Below are 13853 nucleotides of genomic sequence, written 5' to 3' on the forward strand. Positions count from 1 at the left end.
ACTACAGGTACACGCCACCACGCCCAGGTAATTTTTGTATTTTTAGTAGAGACAGAGTTTCACCATATTGATCAGGGTGGTCTCAAACTCCTGACCTCAGGTGATCCACCTGCCTCGGCCTCCCAAAGCACTGGGATTATAGGCATGAGCCACTGTGCCCGGCCTCTTATTTTATTTTTGTACGCATTAACTACCTTCTCTTTATTACCTACTTCTCACTGCCCTTGCCAGCCTCTGGATACCATCATTCTGCTCTCTACCTCCATGGAATTAATTTTTTTTCTTTTTTAGCTCCCACATAGCAGTGAGAACATGCAATATTTGTCTTTCTGTGCCTGACTTATTTCACTTAAGATAATGTCCTCCATTTCTATCTAGGTTATTGCAAATGACAGGATTTCATTCTTTATATGGCTCAATAGTTCTCCATTGTGTATATGTACCACATTTTCTTTATCTGTTCTTCTGCCGATGGACACTTAGGTTGATTCCATAACTTGGCTATTGTGAATAGTGCTGCAATAAACATGGAAGTGCAATACCTCTTTGATATACTGATTTCCTTCTTTCGATATATGCCCAGCAGTGGGATTGCTGGATCATATGGTAGTTGTATTTTTAGTTTTTTGAGGCAGGGTCTCACTCTGTGGCCCAGGCTGGAGTGCAATGGCTCACTGCAGCCTCGACCTCCCGGGCTCAAGTGATCCTCCTACCTCAGCCTCCCAAGTAGCTGGGACTACAGATATACACTACTATGTCTGGTTAATTTTTAAATTTTTTGCAGAGATGGGGTTCTACTATGTTGCCCAGACTAGTCTCGATCTCCTGGGTACAAACAATCCTGCCTCAGCCTCCCAGAGTGCTAGGATTACAGGTGCAAGCCACCATGCCCAGCACATTTTTAGTGTTTTGAGGAACTTCCTTGCTGTTTTCTATAGTGGCTGTACTAATTTAGCTTCCCACCAGCAGTGTACAAGCATTCCTTTTTGTTGCCATCCTTGCCACCATTTGTTATTTTTTGTCTTTTTGATAAAAGCTATTTAACTGGAGTGACATGATATCTTATTGTGGTTTTGATTTGCACTAGACCTCTACCTTTCACTGTATGCAAAAATCGAATCAAAATTTATTGAAGACTTAAATGTAAGCTGACGTTATAAAACTGCTAGAAGAAAACATTAGTGAAATACTTCAGGACATTGGTCTGGGCAAAGATTTCTTGAGTAAGACCTCAAAAGCACAGGTGACCAAAGCAAAAATGAACAAATGGGATCACATTTAGCTAAAAAGCTTCTGCATGGCAAAGGAAACAGTCAACAAAGTGAAGATACAGCTTACAGAATGGGAGAAAATATTTGCAAACGATTCCACTGTTGAGGGATCAATAACCAGAATATATAAGGAACTCAAACAATTCAATAGCAAAAAAACAAAAATACAATGTGAAAATGGGCAAAAGATCTGAGTAGGCATTTCTCAAAGAAGACATATACATGTCTAATAGGTATATGAAAAGCTCAACATCACTAATCATCAGAAAGATGAGCATTTTAATACCAAGTCATTGAAAATAACATTATCCATTAAAGAGTGTTGTGTTAGCAGATGACAATTATTTTCCGTAACAGTTTTAAATTTTAAGACAATTTAGAATGTATTATGTCTCTTATTAGGAACCGTAACTTCCTAAAAGCTACCCTTTCAGATAAGACATAAGATACAGAAGAGGAAAGATTGGAGACCGGTTATCAGTCAGGAATTTGGGGGTTGAAGGTGTTCTTAAATGTCCATGCTAATTAACAGCTTTAACAATTATTAGATAGAGGTAGGATCAAATTAAGTATTTCTTTAGGTATTTTAAATTTTATTGTATGTCCTTTACTAAAATTTGAGTGATAGGGATATACTTATTTATTTATGAAAAAATAATGATTTGAAATTAGTAGAGAAGATTTCGTGTATTTAGCACTAACATTTTAACTACCCTTTTTTGCACTCACCCCAAAGACCCACATAACTCCTTAAAGATATCCTTTGTGGTATTATCTGCATCACAAAATAATCCATCTTTCTTAATAATGTGGGTATTTCCTAAATTTTGACTCCTGAGTATCTTTGGGACTCATAATTGGTATAATCAGAGAGAGCTTGCTGTGCCACTTAACCTGTTCCTGTTTAGGCTATCCCTGAATAATTACATTGCCTTTGAGGACTATCCACTCTTAGTGTTTAGTCATATTGCACAGTGGCTCTCTGGTTTTCTATTGGAATAGTTATTAGAGAAGCTGGTATAAAGGGATACCACGTTTTTCTAGAATTTAACTTAATACTTGGTTATACATTAAAACCACTACCATCTCAATTAATATTCCCCTTGTGATCTTTGAAGGACCTATGGTATGGATGCAAAACAATATAGATGTTTGCATCCCAATTTACATATTGTAGTGATCCACACCAGGTGTTGGAAATTTTGGTGTATGTTGCATTGCATTGTTTTTATGTATATGCATAGTATGATAGGATGTTTGATTTCTTCATAAGAAATATTTTTAAATCTCGGCTGTGTGCGGTGGCTCACGCCTGTAATCCTAGTGCTTTGGGAGGCCAAGGTGGGTGGATCATGAGGTCAAGAGATTGAGACCATCCTGGCTAACACGGTGAAACCCCGTCTCTACTAAAAATTACAAAAAAACTAGCCGGACATGGTGGCGGGCACCTATCATCCCAGCTACTCGGGAGGCTGAAGCAGGAGAATGGTGTGAACCCGGGAGGCAGAGCTTGCAGTGAGCTGAGATCGTGCCACTGCACTCCAGCCTGGGCGACAGAGCGAGACTCCATCTCAAAAAAAAATAGAAAGGAAATATTTTTAAATCTCTAGGAATATATGAGACATTGTCATGAAAGCATCAGAACCTGTTAATAGAGCACTGTAATTGAAATGAGGAAACTGAAAGTTTTAATTCTATATGTAAATCTGTGACTAAATCTCCTATATCTCTCTACCTAGATAAGATTTTGGTATAAGTAGAGATTTTAACCATGTCAGATATGAATTAAAAAAATAAAGGATATATAATATATACAGTTGTTTAAGTCCTCAGAAGAATGTTTGCTTTATTAATATACGTACGCTAGGTATTTTGTCACGGAAAACATTTTTTAAAATATTAAAGGAAAACTTAAGGGAACCCCTAAAAGATTACAAATAGACTTTTTATATTCGTTGAAGAATAAAAAGATCAATAAAAGGCAAGGAAGAAGTAATAAAGAAAAAAATAATAAATAGTACAAAATAAGATGGTAGAATTAAAATCAAATGTATGAATAGTTTCCGTAAGTATAAATTGGCAGAACTTACAACTTAAATGACAGAGGTGATCAGATCTTGTTTTTTTAGTTTTTCATTGAAGTGATCTTTTTAAGAGCATTACCTAAAATACATCAAGATAGGTTGAGAGAAAGTAAAGCATGGAAAAGATACACTAGGCAAATGTTCAGAGAAAAGCAAATAGAAACATGTTGATGATAGGGAAAATATGCACACCAAAACTAAAAACATTTTTAGTTCTAGAGAGGATCATTGTAATGAGAAAAAGAATAATTCACTAAAGAAACAAGACTTCTCTGACATGTGTGTATATGTATACATATACATGCATGTATGTATGTAATTGATAAAATTACAAGGAGAAAGTTAATTTATAAATGTTAGTACAATATTTTAATGGGATAAAGAAGTTTTGAATTAGAAGATACAGAATATTTGAATAACACAAATTAAATTAGTCCTTTACCTCATACCATACAAAAATATACATGCCAATTGGGATGAAAACCTGAATGGGAAAAGCAAAAAGCAAAAAAGCTTTTAACTGTTAAACTGTGTATACATAAATAATATATTATCTTTTGTTTTATTACAGTGTATGCTAGCCTCAATTTTGGCAGTAAGACACAGCAAACATTTGGTAGTCAAACAGAGTGTACTTCCTCAAATGGTCAAAATCCAAGTCCAGGAGCTTACATCCTTCCATCCTATCCTGTCTCATCACCTCGAACTAGTCCAAAGCATACATCTCCTCTTATTATATCTCCAAAGAAGTCTCAAGATAATTCTGTTAATTTCTCAAATTCCTGGCCTCTTAAAAGCTTCGAAGGACTATCAAAGCCAAGTCCACAGAAGAAGCTTGTCAGCCAAAAATCGTCTGATCCTACGGGTAGAAATCATGGTAAAAGTCAATACTTTGTTCAAATTTATTTGTGTTTGAATTAGTACTTTGAAGTTAATGCATAGGGCTGTTAGATCTTTAAAAGCTAGTAAACTACATTTTATCTGTCTGAATTTAGTAAATATTTAGGAAAATATTTAATAGTGTGTTAAATAAATCAAATGTATAAAATTCAATTGAAATTCTCATTTCTTACATTGTCACTTAAAAATCCTTTTCAGAACCAGGAAAATAATGATGCTTTTCTTTGTTTGTTTGTTTGTAAATAGAGATAGGGTCCTACTATGTTGACCAGGCTGTTCTCAAACTCCTGGTCTCAAGTGATTTCTCCCATCCTGTCTTCCCAAAGTGCTGGGATTACAGGCTTGAGCCACTGTGCTGGGCCAGAAAATAGTAATGTTTTATAATGAACATGAACAACATATGTTGTTTGAGAGCCTACTAACAAATTTTAGCTTTACAAATATAAAATGTCATTCATATGCTTATTGCAATTAATGCCTAATATTCATTTATTCAATATTTATTGAATTTTTATTGTATGTTAAAATTAATTTGAAACTTTTTTTTTTTGAGACGGAGTTTCGCTCTTGTTGCCCAGACTGGAGTGCAATGGTGCGATCTTGGCTCACGGCATCCTCCACCTCCAAGTGATTCTCCTGCCTCAGCCTCTTGAGTAGCTGGGGTTATAGGCATGCGCCACCATGCCCGGCTAATTTTGTATTTTTAGTAGAGATGGTGTTTCTCCATGTTGGTGAGGCTGGTCTCAAACTCCCGACCTCAGGTGATCAACCCGCCTCAACCTCCAAAGTGCTGGGATTACAGGCGTGAGCTACTGCACCTGGCTGAAACATTTTTTATTATTTGTTATAAACTAAAATATTCTTTTCTTAACAATAACCCACTCCAAAAATCATGAAATTAGCATATATAAGTTCATTCAGGACAAATTCAGTCTTAAAATAAAAAGTCGACTGAGCGTAGTGGGTCATGCCTGTAGCACTTTGGGAGGCCGAGGTGGTTGGATCCCTTGAGGTCAGGAGTTTGAGACCAGCCTGGCCAGTATGGTGAAACACCATCTCTACCAAAAATACAAAAATTAGCCGGGCTGATGGCACGTGCCTGTAATCCCAGCTACTTGGGAGGCTGAGGCGGGAGAATCGCTTGAACCCAGGAAGCGGAGGTTGCAGTGAGCTGAGGTGGCACCACTGCACTCCAGCCTGGGCTACAAGAGTGAGACTCTGTCTCAAAAAATAAATAAATAAATAAAAATAAAAAGATGTTGAAGGAATCCTCTGCGTCCCTCATGATTTTCTTTCCCCAGCCATTGATGTAAGATGTTTCACCTTTAAACTACCCTACAAGTCCAGTGTTCAATTTATGGCATATTCAGTCAATTTTATCACTTTCTCTTAGCACTATACTTTGATTCTCTTCTATTAATTCCTTTCTGTATTTGTTTATTGTACAAGATCAAATATTGTATCGAAAGCCGAGGCTTTATTCAGCTTGTTCTCCCCAGTGACCAGCTATAATGTGCTTTTTTTATTTTAAAACATTGTATTTTAAGCACTTGTGACTATAACTCCCTCTTCTCTAAAATTAGAAAAAGAAAAAGTAAAATATCTATTTTTCATGCAGGAGAAAATTCTCAAGAAAAACCTCCAGTTCAGCTTACACCTGCCTTGGTGAGATCGCCATCTTCCCGACGAGGTCTAAATGGGACAAAGCCTGTTCCTCCCATACCAAGGGGAATAAGCCTTTTGCCTGATAAAGCTGATTTAAGCACAGTGGGACACAAAAAGAAAGAGCCTGATGATATTTGGAAGTGTGAAAAAGATAGTCTTCCAATTGATCTTTCAGAATTAAATTTCAAGGATAAAGATTTGGATCAAGAAGAGGTTAGAACCAAATATTTTTAATGACTTAAAAATATTTGCAATTTTCTATAATATAGTTGCTATTTAAGGAAAAATCAAGTTCTTTTTATCCTATAATATCTTATTTCTAAAAATATGTTCATTATAGAAAATGTGGAAAATACCATGAATTAGTAGGAAGGGAATTTATCACGCCAGTTCCCACTACCAGAATAATTTACTGTTAACACTCTACTGTATTTTCTTCAAGTATTTTTTCTATGCATACATTATTCCTTTTTAAATTAAAAGTATGAATAATAATATAGCAATACACTCATGTACTGACCCTTCCAGTGAACAGTTTGTCATATTTGTTTCCTATATTTAAATAAATGAAACATAGCATAGTTCTCTCCCCAGTTCAACATCTCTTCCTTCTTCACCAGAGGCAATCACTATTACCATTTATATATGTCTTATGTATTTTTGTACTTTTTATATTAATATTATTTTTGTGTATTTACTTACGGTGTGTTTATACCATTGATTTTGGCTTATGATCAGTCTTTTGCAATTGCATACAGTGAACTGCAATGAACATATTTGAACCTGTCCTTTGTGTTTCTGTGCAAGCTTACTTATCTTTATGAAATTGAGATCATATTGTACACTCATCTTTGAATCCTAGATCACTTTGTGCTATAAAAATGTTACCAGTATGATAACTGTACATAATTATTATATCAGACAAGGAATGCGGTTGCTGTATTACTTTGGTTTCAGAGTACTATTTCCATAGATGCCTCCTTTTTATCATTTCAGTTTGCTTCAAGTCAGGTTAAAAAAAAAGTTTTATATTACATATATAAATGCAAATACTTAATTATGATATTTTATGGTCTTAGTCTGTTTTTAAGGTATAAGCATCAATCATGTAATGATAATTTGCTCAATAAAATAGAGTTAATATTACTGTATATTCATTTTTAACATATGTCTTTATGTTAAACACATGTAAAACTAACCTATAAAGTACCAAAGTTGGTTGTTAATGATTTAAAGTAATCACCCCAACTTCTGCTTGTGAAATCTTTCCTTTTTTTTTTTTCCCAACTCATTTGTATTTTACTAGTGCTAGGAAGGGAATTCATTTGAAGGGAAGAAACATATAGAAAAGACATTTTCCTACATAACTTATAAATTTCACCTGATCCTACATAATTTTGCTTTGTTTTTATAATAACTTAAATATAGTTCTTTTTTTAGTGGGTAATTGAAAGGTGAGTTTCTGTTATATAATTATTAGTAAATACAGGAGGATACCATTGCTTTTAGATATTCAACTTTTCACGCTTTTAATAGAGAAGTGGCCCTAGTATTAAATCAACTAGTAGAGTTGTTGAAAATTACTTATCCTCCCTTATAGTTGCTAATATGACACTTCCTATTTATTATTTTGAATGGGTCACTGTTTATATTCTTTGGTGTGAGTTGACTTTTGACAAAAGCATAAGTTTTCATGTGCTTAATGTGCTTAATAATGTATCAAACACTTTCATTTTCATTAGTTCATTTAATCTTTACAGTAACTCCCTGAGTTAAGAAGCAAGTCAACATCTATTATGTTTTTTGTTTGTGTGTGTGTTTGTTTTTACAGAAGAGGCTCAGTGATGTTATGTGTCTTGCTCAGGGTCAGAAAGTATGTGGTAGGACTAGGATTCAAGCACTGTTCACCTAACTTTATGTTCATTAAGTTTTTCACTGTACTACACTGCCCTAAATCCATTAAAGGGTTTTTTGTTGTTGTTGAGTTTGCCTTCCAACTATGAAGACTTAAGAAATTTATGGATGTTTGCTTTAACTGAAAACAGATACTTTCATTAAATGATTAATCTTATGAATCAAATGTAAACAAAACAGTTTATGTATGTTTCTATTTTCCTTAATTTGTTCAAAGTTTTGTTGCTAGTCTTAATATATTTTGCCATAACAATTTGTATTCTGGATTTCCTTTTTTTTTTTTTTTTTGAAACAGAGTCTCGCTGTGTTGCCTAGACTGGAGTGCAATGGTGCAATCTCGGCTCATTGCAACCTTTGCCTCCCAGGTTCAAGCGATTCTTGTGCCTCAGCCTCACAAATAGCTAAGACTGCACGTGTCCACCACCATGCCCAGCTGCATTTCTAAAAATATTTGGCTTCAGAAGTTACGTACAGTGATCTGTAATTTTAATACTTGCAAGCTTGATGTAAACATCAAATTTTTGAAAACTGATTTTCATGAATCACCTCCCAGAGCTAGCTTCTAAGCCACATTAGCACACCAGGTGTACCTCTGTGACATCAACTCTGATATCTACCATCTGATTCAATGATTCATTTATTAAATAATTGAATTAATGCCATATATTTAGTCATTGTGCCCAGTGCTGAAGATACCATGATGAACAATAGCTGAGATTCTTCCTCTCAAGGAGCTTTCAACCCAGTAGGTTGTTTATAAATACCCAAGTGATAAAAATCTGTGTATTGATACTATATACATATATATTAGTATTCATCTTGTTTTAGTACAGGATTGGGAAGTGGTTAGCTAGGTATAGCTAATGGAGTTTAAAATTTAAGGATAACTTTTACCAATATAAGGAATTTATGTTATAAAGTTTATTGTTTTCATTTTTTCTTAGATGCATAGCTCTCTTAGGTCCCTTCGTAATAGTGCAGCTAAGAAAAGAGCAAAACTGAGTGGCAGTACTTCAGATCTTGAAAGCCCTGATTCTGCAATGAAGCTCGACTTGACGATGGACTCCCCGTCTCTGTCTTCCTCACCAAACATCAATTCTTACAGTGAAAGTGGAGTTTACAGCCAAGAATCATTGACTTCTTCTCTGTCTACAACTCCCCAGGGGAAGAGAATAATGTATTTTATTTTTTGACGTGATAAATGAATGTTCCTCTGTAATTAGTGATTTAGAGCCCTAATATCATATTTGTAAAAACTTAAAACCATTTATGTTTTAGTTTTTAAAATGTTAAAATATATTTAAAAGACATTGGAAATGTTTACAGATATTACCTTGCTTGGCTTTGGTTTCTGGTGTGAGTGGAAAGAGAACACAACCCCAACTGTAAACCAGAGCACCTAAATTAGTATAAACCCTGTTCCTAAAGCCCTAGTTGTTCTTTTTGTCTAGGATTTATCCTAATGCTTTTTGACCTTTAGCTCTTTTCTGGATTATTGACTCCTTTGCCAGTTGATCTATAGCTAATATTACTGCTTTCATTTTAAGCTCAGCACCAGTTTCCTCTAATTTATGAATAAGTTTCACCCAGCCATTATTTTCTTATATCTTATTTCCATTATCTTGTAGAAGCTCAGGACTTCATGCCATAGCTCTCATAGCCTTGTTAGGAGTCTCCCTACAGCAGTAGTGCTGGACTTAAAGTCCTGGCCACCCCACATCAATAGAAAATTATTTTTCAGCATAGCAGTTGGACTAACTTTTTCAGATTACTTCTGTAACCTCTACGTCTTAAACCTTAACCTCACTTAACTGGTGAGTGATCTCAAACTGCTTTCTGGACAGCTCTGTGACCCTACTGTAGGATTTTGGAGAATCCCTTCCTCTTTTATTTTAGACAAAAACCTAGTAATAGAATTGATAGGGCATAGAATAGATGTATATTTAACTTTTTAAGTAACTGCTAAAACAGTTTTCCAAAATGATTGTGTAACTTTTACACTCCTACCAGCTATGTGTGAGAGTTATCCTTGTTTCACATTCTTGCTAACATTTGGTGGTGTCATTCTTAAATTTTTTTTCCTTTGATTTAATCCTGAACCAGAAGTAAATATTTAAAATTAAAATTAATTTCACTTTAGTGAATTGGAACTTCTAAGAAATATACGTAAATAGAGATTGCATAATCAAAGGAGAGGTAGTGTTCTAAATAGATCATAATGTTTTATTCCAGCAGTTCATAGAATTAAACTGAATTTTTGTGTTCCATTCTTAGAAGTTTGTTTCAGCCCCTTATTTTTTCCTATACATTTTTAGCAGCTTGTTTTGTACTTGGAAGTTTTATCTTCCAACAGTTCCTTTGTTGTAATTACCTAGGTAGAATAATAGGTATATTAGCAAAATGAATTTGGAATGACAGCATGGTCTGGTGTTTACATAATGTTATAAGACACAAAATATATTTTTAGCTTTTAGAGCTAAAGTCCTTTTATGATCTTCCATGAAGATGAAAATTTATGTTCTATAATCCTACAGTTGCAAGGTTGTGTAAATAATTTGAAACCTACTTAAGAAGAAAATTTCATTTTATATGATTTGGATACATGATGTCCTGTATTTTCTCACTGAGTTATTCTCTTCAGATACTGAATTCTGTTAGAAGGTAGTTCAGCACACCCTCATTTATGGACTGAAATGCCTTTAATGAATTTAAGATTTCCACATTTAAGATTAGTGGCTTTAGAACAATTATTCTTATCCAGCTTGCATACTGCCTTAAGATTCATGGCCAAAGAAAGCCACTACTACTACCTGATTTAAAGATTTTGTCCTTAGGTGGGTTGGGGAGGAAAAATTGTTGAAAACCACCCTCCTAGAGACTGAAATTTCTTCTTTCATCCAAGTCAACTACACTTAATATAAATGTAGATTCATAATAATCTGTTATAGAGAAATTGCTCTTTCAAAATATTTAACACTGATTTCTCACTAGGTCCACTGACAAATATATTTCTCTCCATTTACTGAGAATTGTACTTCTTTGTAAAATCTATTCTTTTTAATATTCATTACTAACTTACTGACATTGTAACACTTACTGATTTAAAACAGTTCCCTTAAGCTCAGATTTAACATTCTTCAGTTGGCTTTCTTAATGAAAAAAGGCCTATAGGTATTTATAATGTCAGGAAAGTACAGGAAAGAATAGTCTAAGCAGAAAGTGGCATTTACCAAACTTACTCATTGCTGATCTCTTACTTATAATATAGCCAAGTCTGTATTTTTGTGTTATCATATATAAGGATAGGTAGTAGTTAGATAATTAAGAATGATTTGACTTGTTATATTTATTTTCATTTTTTTGAGACAAGGTCTCACTGTGTCACTCAGGCTGGAGTGTAGTAGTTCAATCTCAGCTCACTGCAACCCCTGCCTCCTGGGCTCAGGTGATCCTCCCACCTCGGCCTCTGTAGTAGCTGGGACTACAGGTGTGCACCGCCATGCCTGGTTAATTTTTTAGTTTTTTTGTAGAGATGGAGTTTTGCGATGGTGCCCAGGCTGGCCTTGAACTTCCTGGGCTCAAGTGATCCTCCTGTCTTGGCCTCCCAAAATGCTAGGATTACAGGCATGAGTCACCACACTTGGCCTTGATTTGGTTTTAGAATGGATTCTTGGATCATTTTTTTTTTTCCTTAGGGATTATACAGTATAAGTCAGAGTCATTTTCTGTGGCAATCCTGTCTTGAGTAATTAAGAATTGGCCATATGTTAAAAAGGTTGGTAGTCCAAAAGGTGAACTAAGAATAGCAAAATATATATGTGTGTGTGTGTGTGTGTGTGTGTGTATACACACACACTGTTAGCCATAGTTTTTCAAGTGTCATACTTATTGCTCCCTTATTATCTAAAAGGTCTGTGAGTTAATAAGGAGAATAGACAATATGTGATGTGAGTATTGAACAGCACTAAATCTTAATGTTTATTGAAATTACTTTGTTTCATTGCAGGTCAGACATATTTCCAACATTTGGGTCAAAACCTTGTCCAACAAGACTTTCTTCTGCAAAGAAAAAAATTTCTCATATTGCTGAACAAAGCCCCAGTGCAGGTATTCTATGTCTGTTTATAAAAATAATTTATAAAATATGATTTTCAAATGATGTAAAAAATGATAGCAAGTGCATTTCAGATTTCATGTTGTTGTGCATACTGGTTAAGACTAATCATTTTTTTACTCCTTAAAAGGTCCTTTTGACAGGAATATGATATTGTTTTGGAAGAAAAAAATATTTATTTACCTGAATCATCAATCTCTTTTAAAGCTCAATTGGCATACCTATGGCTGGCTCCTACACCTAGATTTTTTATGTAGTTGGTGTGGAGTGTTATTTAGCTGGTGTTGGCTGTCAGAATTTTGAAAACTCCTCAGATGATTCTAATGTGCAGCATAGTTTGGGAACCACTGGACATCCCGAAAGACAATTTTCTTTAAAAACAATATTAACTGTTAATAGTAGTTAAATTCATGTGTATCTTGTGTTAAGAATTTTTGTGAACTAACCTGTAAGTCTTTAGTTTTATAACATCACTTCTCAGAAAATAGATTTAGTAATTAGTAGTCAATTAGAAAAAGATTTGCACTATGATCTATTTAGGGTGAGAACTGCATGTGATTCTTCATTATGATTAGTAAAACTACGTTGAATTGTGAATAAACTGTAACAAATTGGTATATGATGTTTAGTTTCACATGATCTAATGTAAAAGTCCTAACAACTTTAAGCTGCTTTATATTATAATCACCTTCCTAAAAAACTGTATATGTATTTGATTATTTGCTAAGATTTTAAATTTCTTGCTCTTAAATGTGTCTTAATCTCAACCCCTCTTTGTAATCCCCACTACCATGGCTTTAGTTCACACTTTTCCTCATTTATTACCTACTTAGCCGCCTAAATTTTCTCCCTGCTTCAATCTCACTTACTTTGAAACTGTTCCCCACAGTGCAAATCTGACTATACTGGCCAGCCTGAATTCATTCTGGACATGCTTTCATGATCTGGTCCCAGCCTACCTCTCCAGCCTCATTTTTCACTGCCCTCTTTGTATCTTGTACTTTCCCTGTTTGTATCCAGTTAAATCAGACCACCATCAGTACCATTTCCTATCTCTTTGCAAATGCACATACTGTTTTTTCTGGATGAAATCTAGAATCCATACCACACCCTATTTAGCTGTGAAAAGAGCTCAGTTGCTTTCTCTGGGAAGCCTTCCTTAATTCACAAACAAGATTATTACCTCTTTTGTTATACCATTACATCTTGCACTGACACCTTTTATAATGATACTACAATTGCTTTACTTTTCTTTAACTCTCAGATTCTTGATCCCCAAAGATTATTTCCCACTGATTACCTATCAAGGCTTATCATAATCGGGAATGTGTGACTTAACCAGGTGTGTTTAGTATACTGCCTTGCATAAAACTAGTGTTAACAAAGAGATAGCTGCACTTCTAGGCATACAAAGACAGTATATAAGTGCTTTGGAGTCCAAAAGATGAGCTGACACCCCAGTTTGATGTTTAATAATAGTATTCATACATTACACAACTTACTTAACTGCTTTGGAACTTAGTTCCCTCATCTGACAACATAAACCTTGAGAAGGGTAGTGAAAATCTAAGTTCATGACATATATAAAGCAACTAGTGCATAGTAGGCACTCAATATGTATTTGTCCTCTAAGGGGAGAGAGTGACCCAAAGAAATACATAAACTTATCCTTAATCCTTTTTCAGGCTGATCATCCTAATCTATAATTTTTCAAGTATTTCTGTAAAATTGAAGAGACATCTGATTACTAGATTGTATCTACTTTGTAAAAATGGAACCCACTTTTGGAAGAGTATCTTTGGAAATGGAAAATAATAGATTTTAAAAACCTGGATTTGAGTTCCCTTGTGACCCTAGTCGTGTGACCTTGGGAGTCATTTAAGTTTTAGCAGAGTGATCTCATAA

At 34.6% G+C, this 13853-nt stretch overlaps 1 protein-coding gene across 9 annotated transcripts in view; it reads left to right on the forward strand.

Annotated features, from left to right (window-relative positions):
- Nucleotides 1–13853, forward strand: part of TOGARAM1 (TOG array regulator of axonemal microtubules 1) — a 112242-nt gene that overhangs the window by 37945 nt on the left and 60444 nt on the right. For 6 of the 9 annotated variants that reach the window (XR_943403.3, NM_001308120.2, XM_011536571.2 and 3 more), the window contains exons 4-7: nucleotides 3927–4232; nucleotides 5874–6133; nucleotides 8779–9011; nucleotides 11841–11941. Coding sequence is in view for 7 of the 9 variants with exons in the window: in NM_001308120.2 (NP_001295049.1) it covers nucleotides 3927–4232; nucleotides 5874–6133; nucleotides 8779–9011; nucleotides 11841–11941 (900 nt within the window). In the remaining 2 variants the exon portion in view is untranslated. The remainder of the gene's footprint in view (nucleotides 1–3926; nucleotides 4233–5873; nucleotides 6134–8778; nucleotides 9012–11840; nucleotides 11942–13853) is intronic. The other 3 variants (NR_131765.2, XM_017021100.2, XM_017021099.2) reach the window with 2 other exon arrangements.

The sequence above is a fragment of the Homo sapiens genome, chromosome 14 (assembly GCF_000001405.40).
Source record: "Homo sapiens chromosome 14, GRCh38.p14 Primary Assembly".
NCBI lineage: Eukaryota > Metazoa > Chordata > Mammalia > Primates > Hominidae > Homo > Homo sapiens.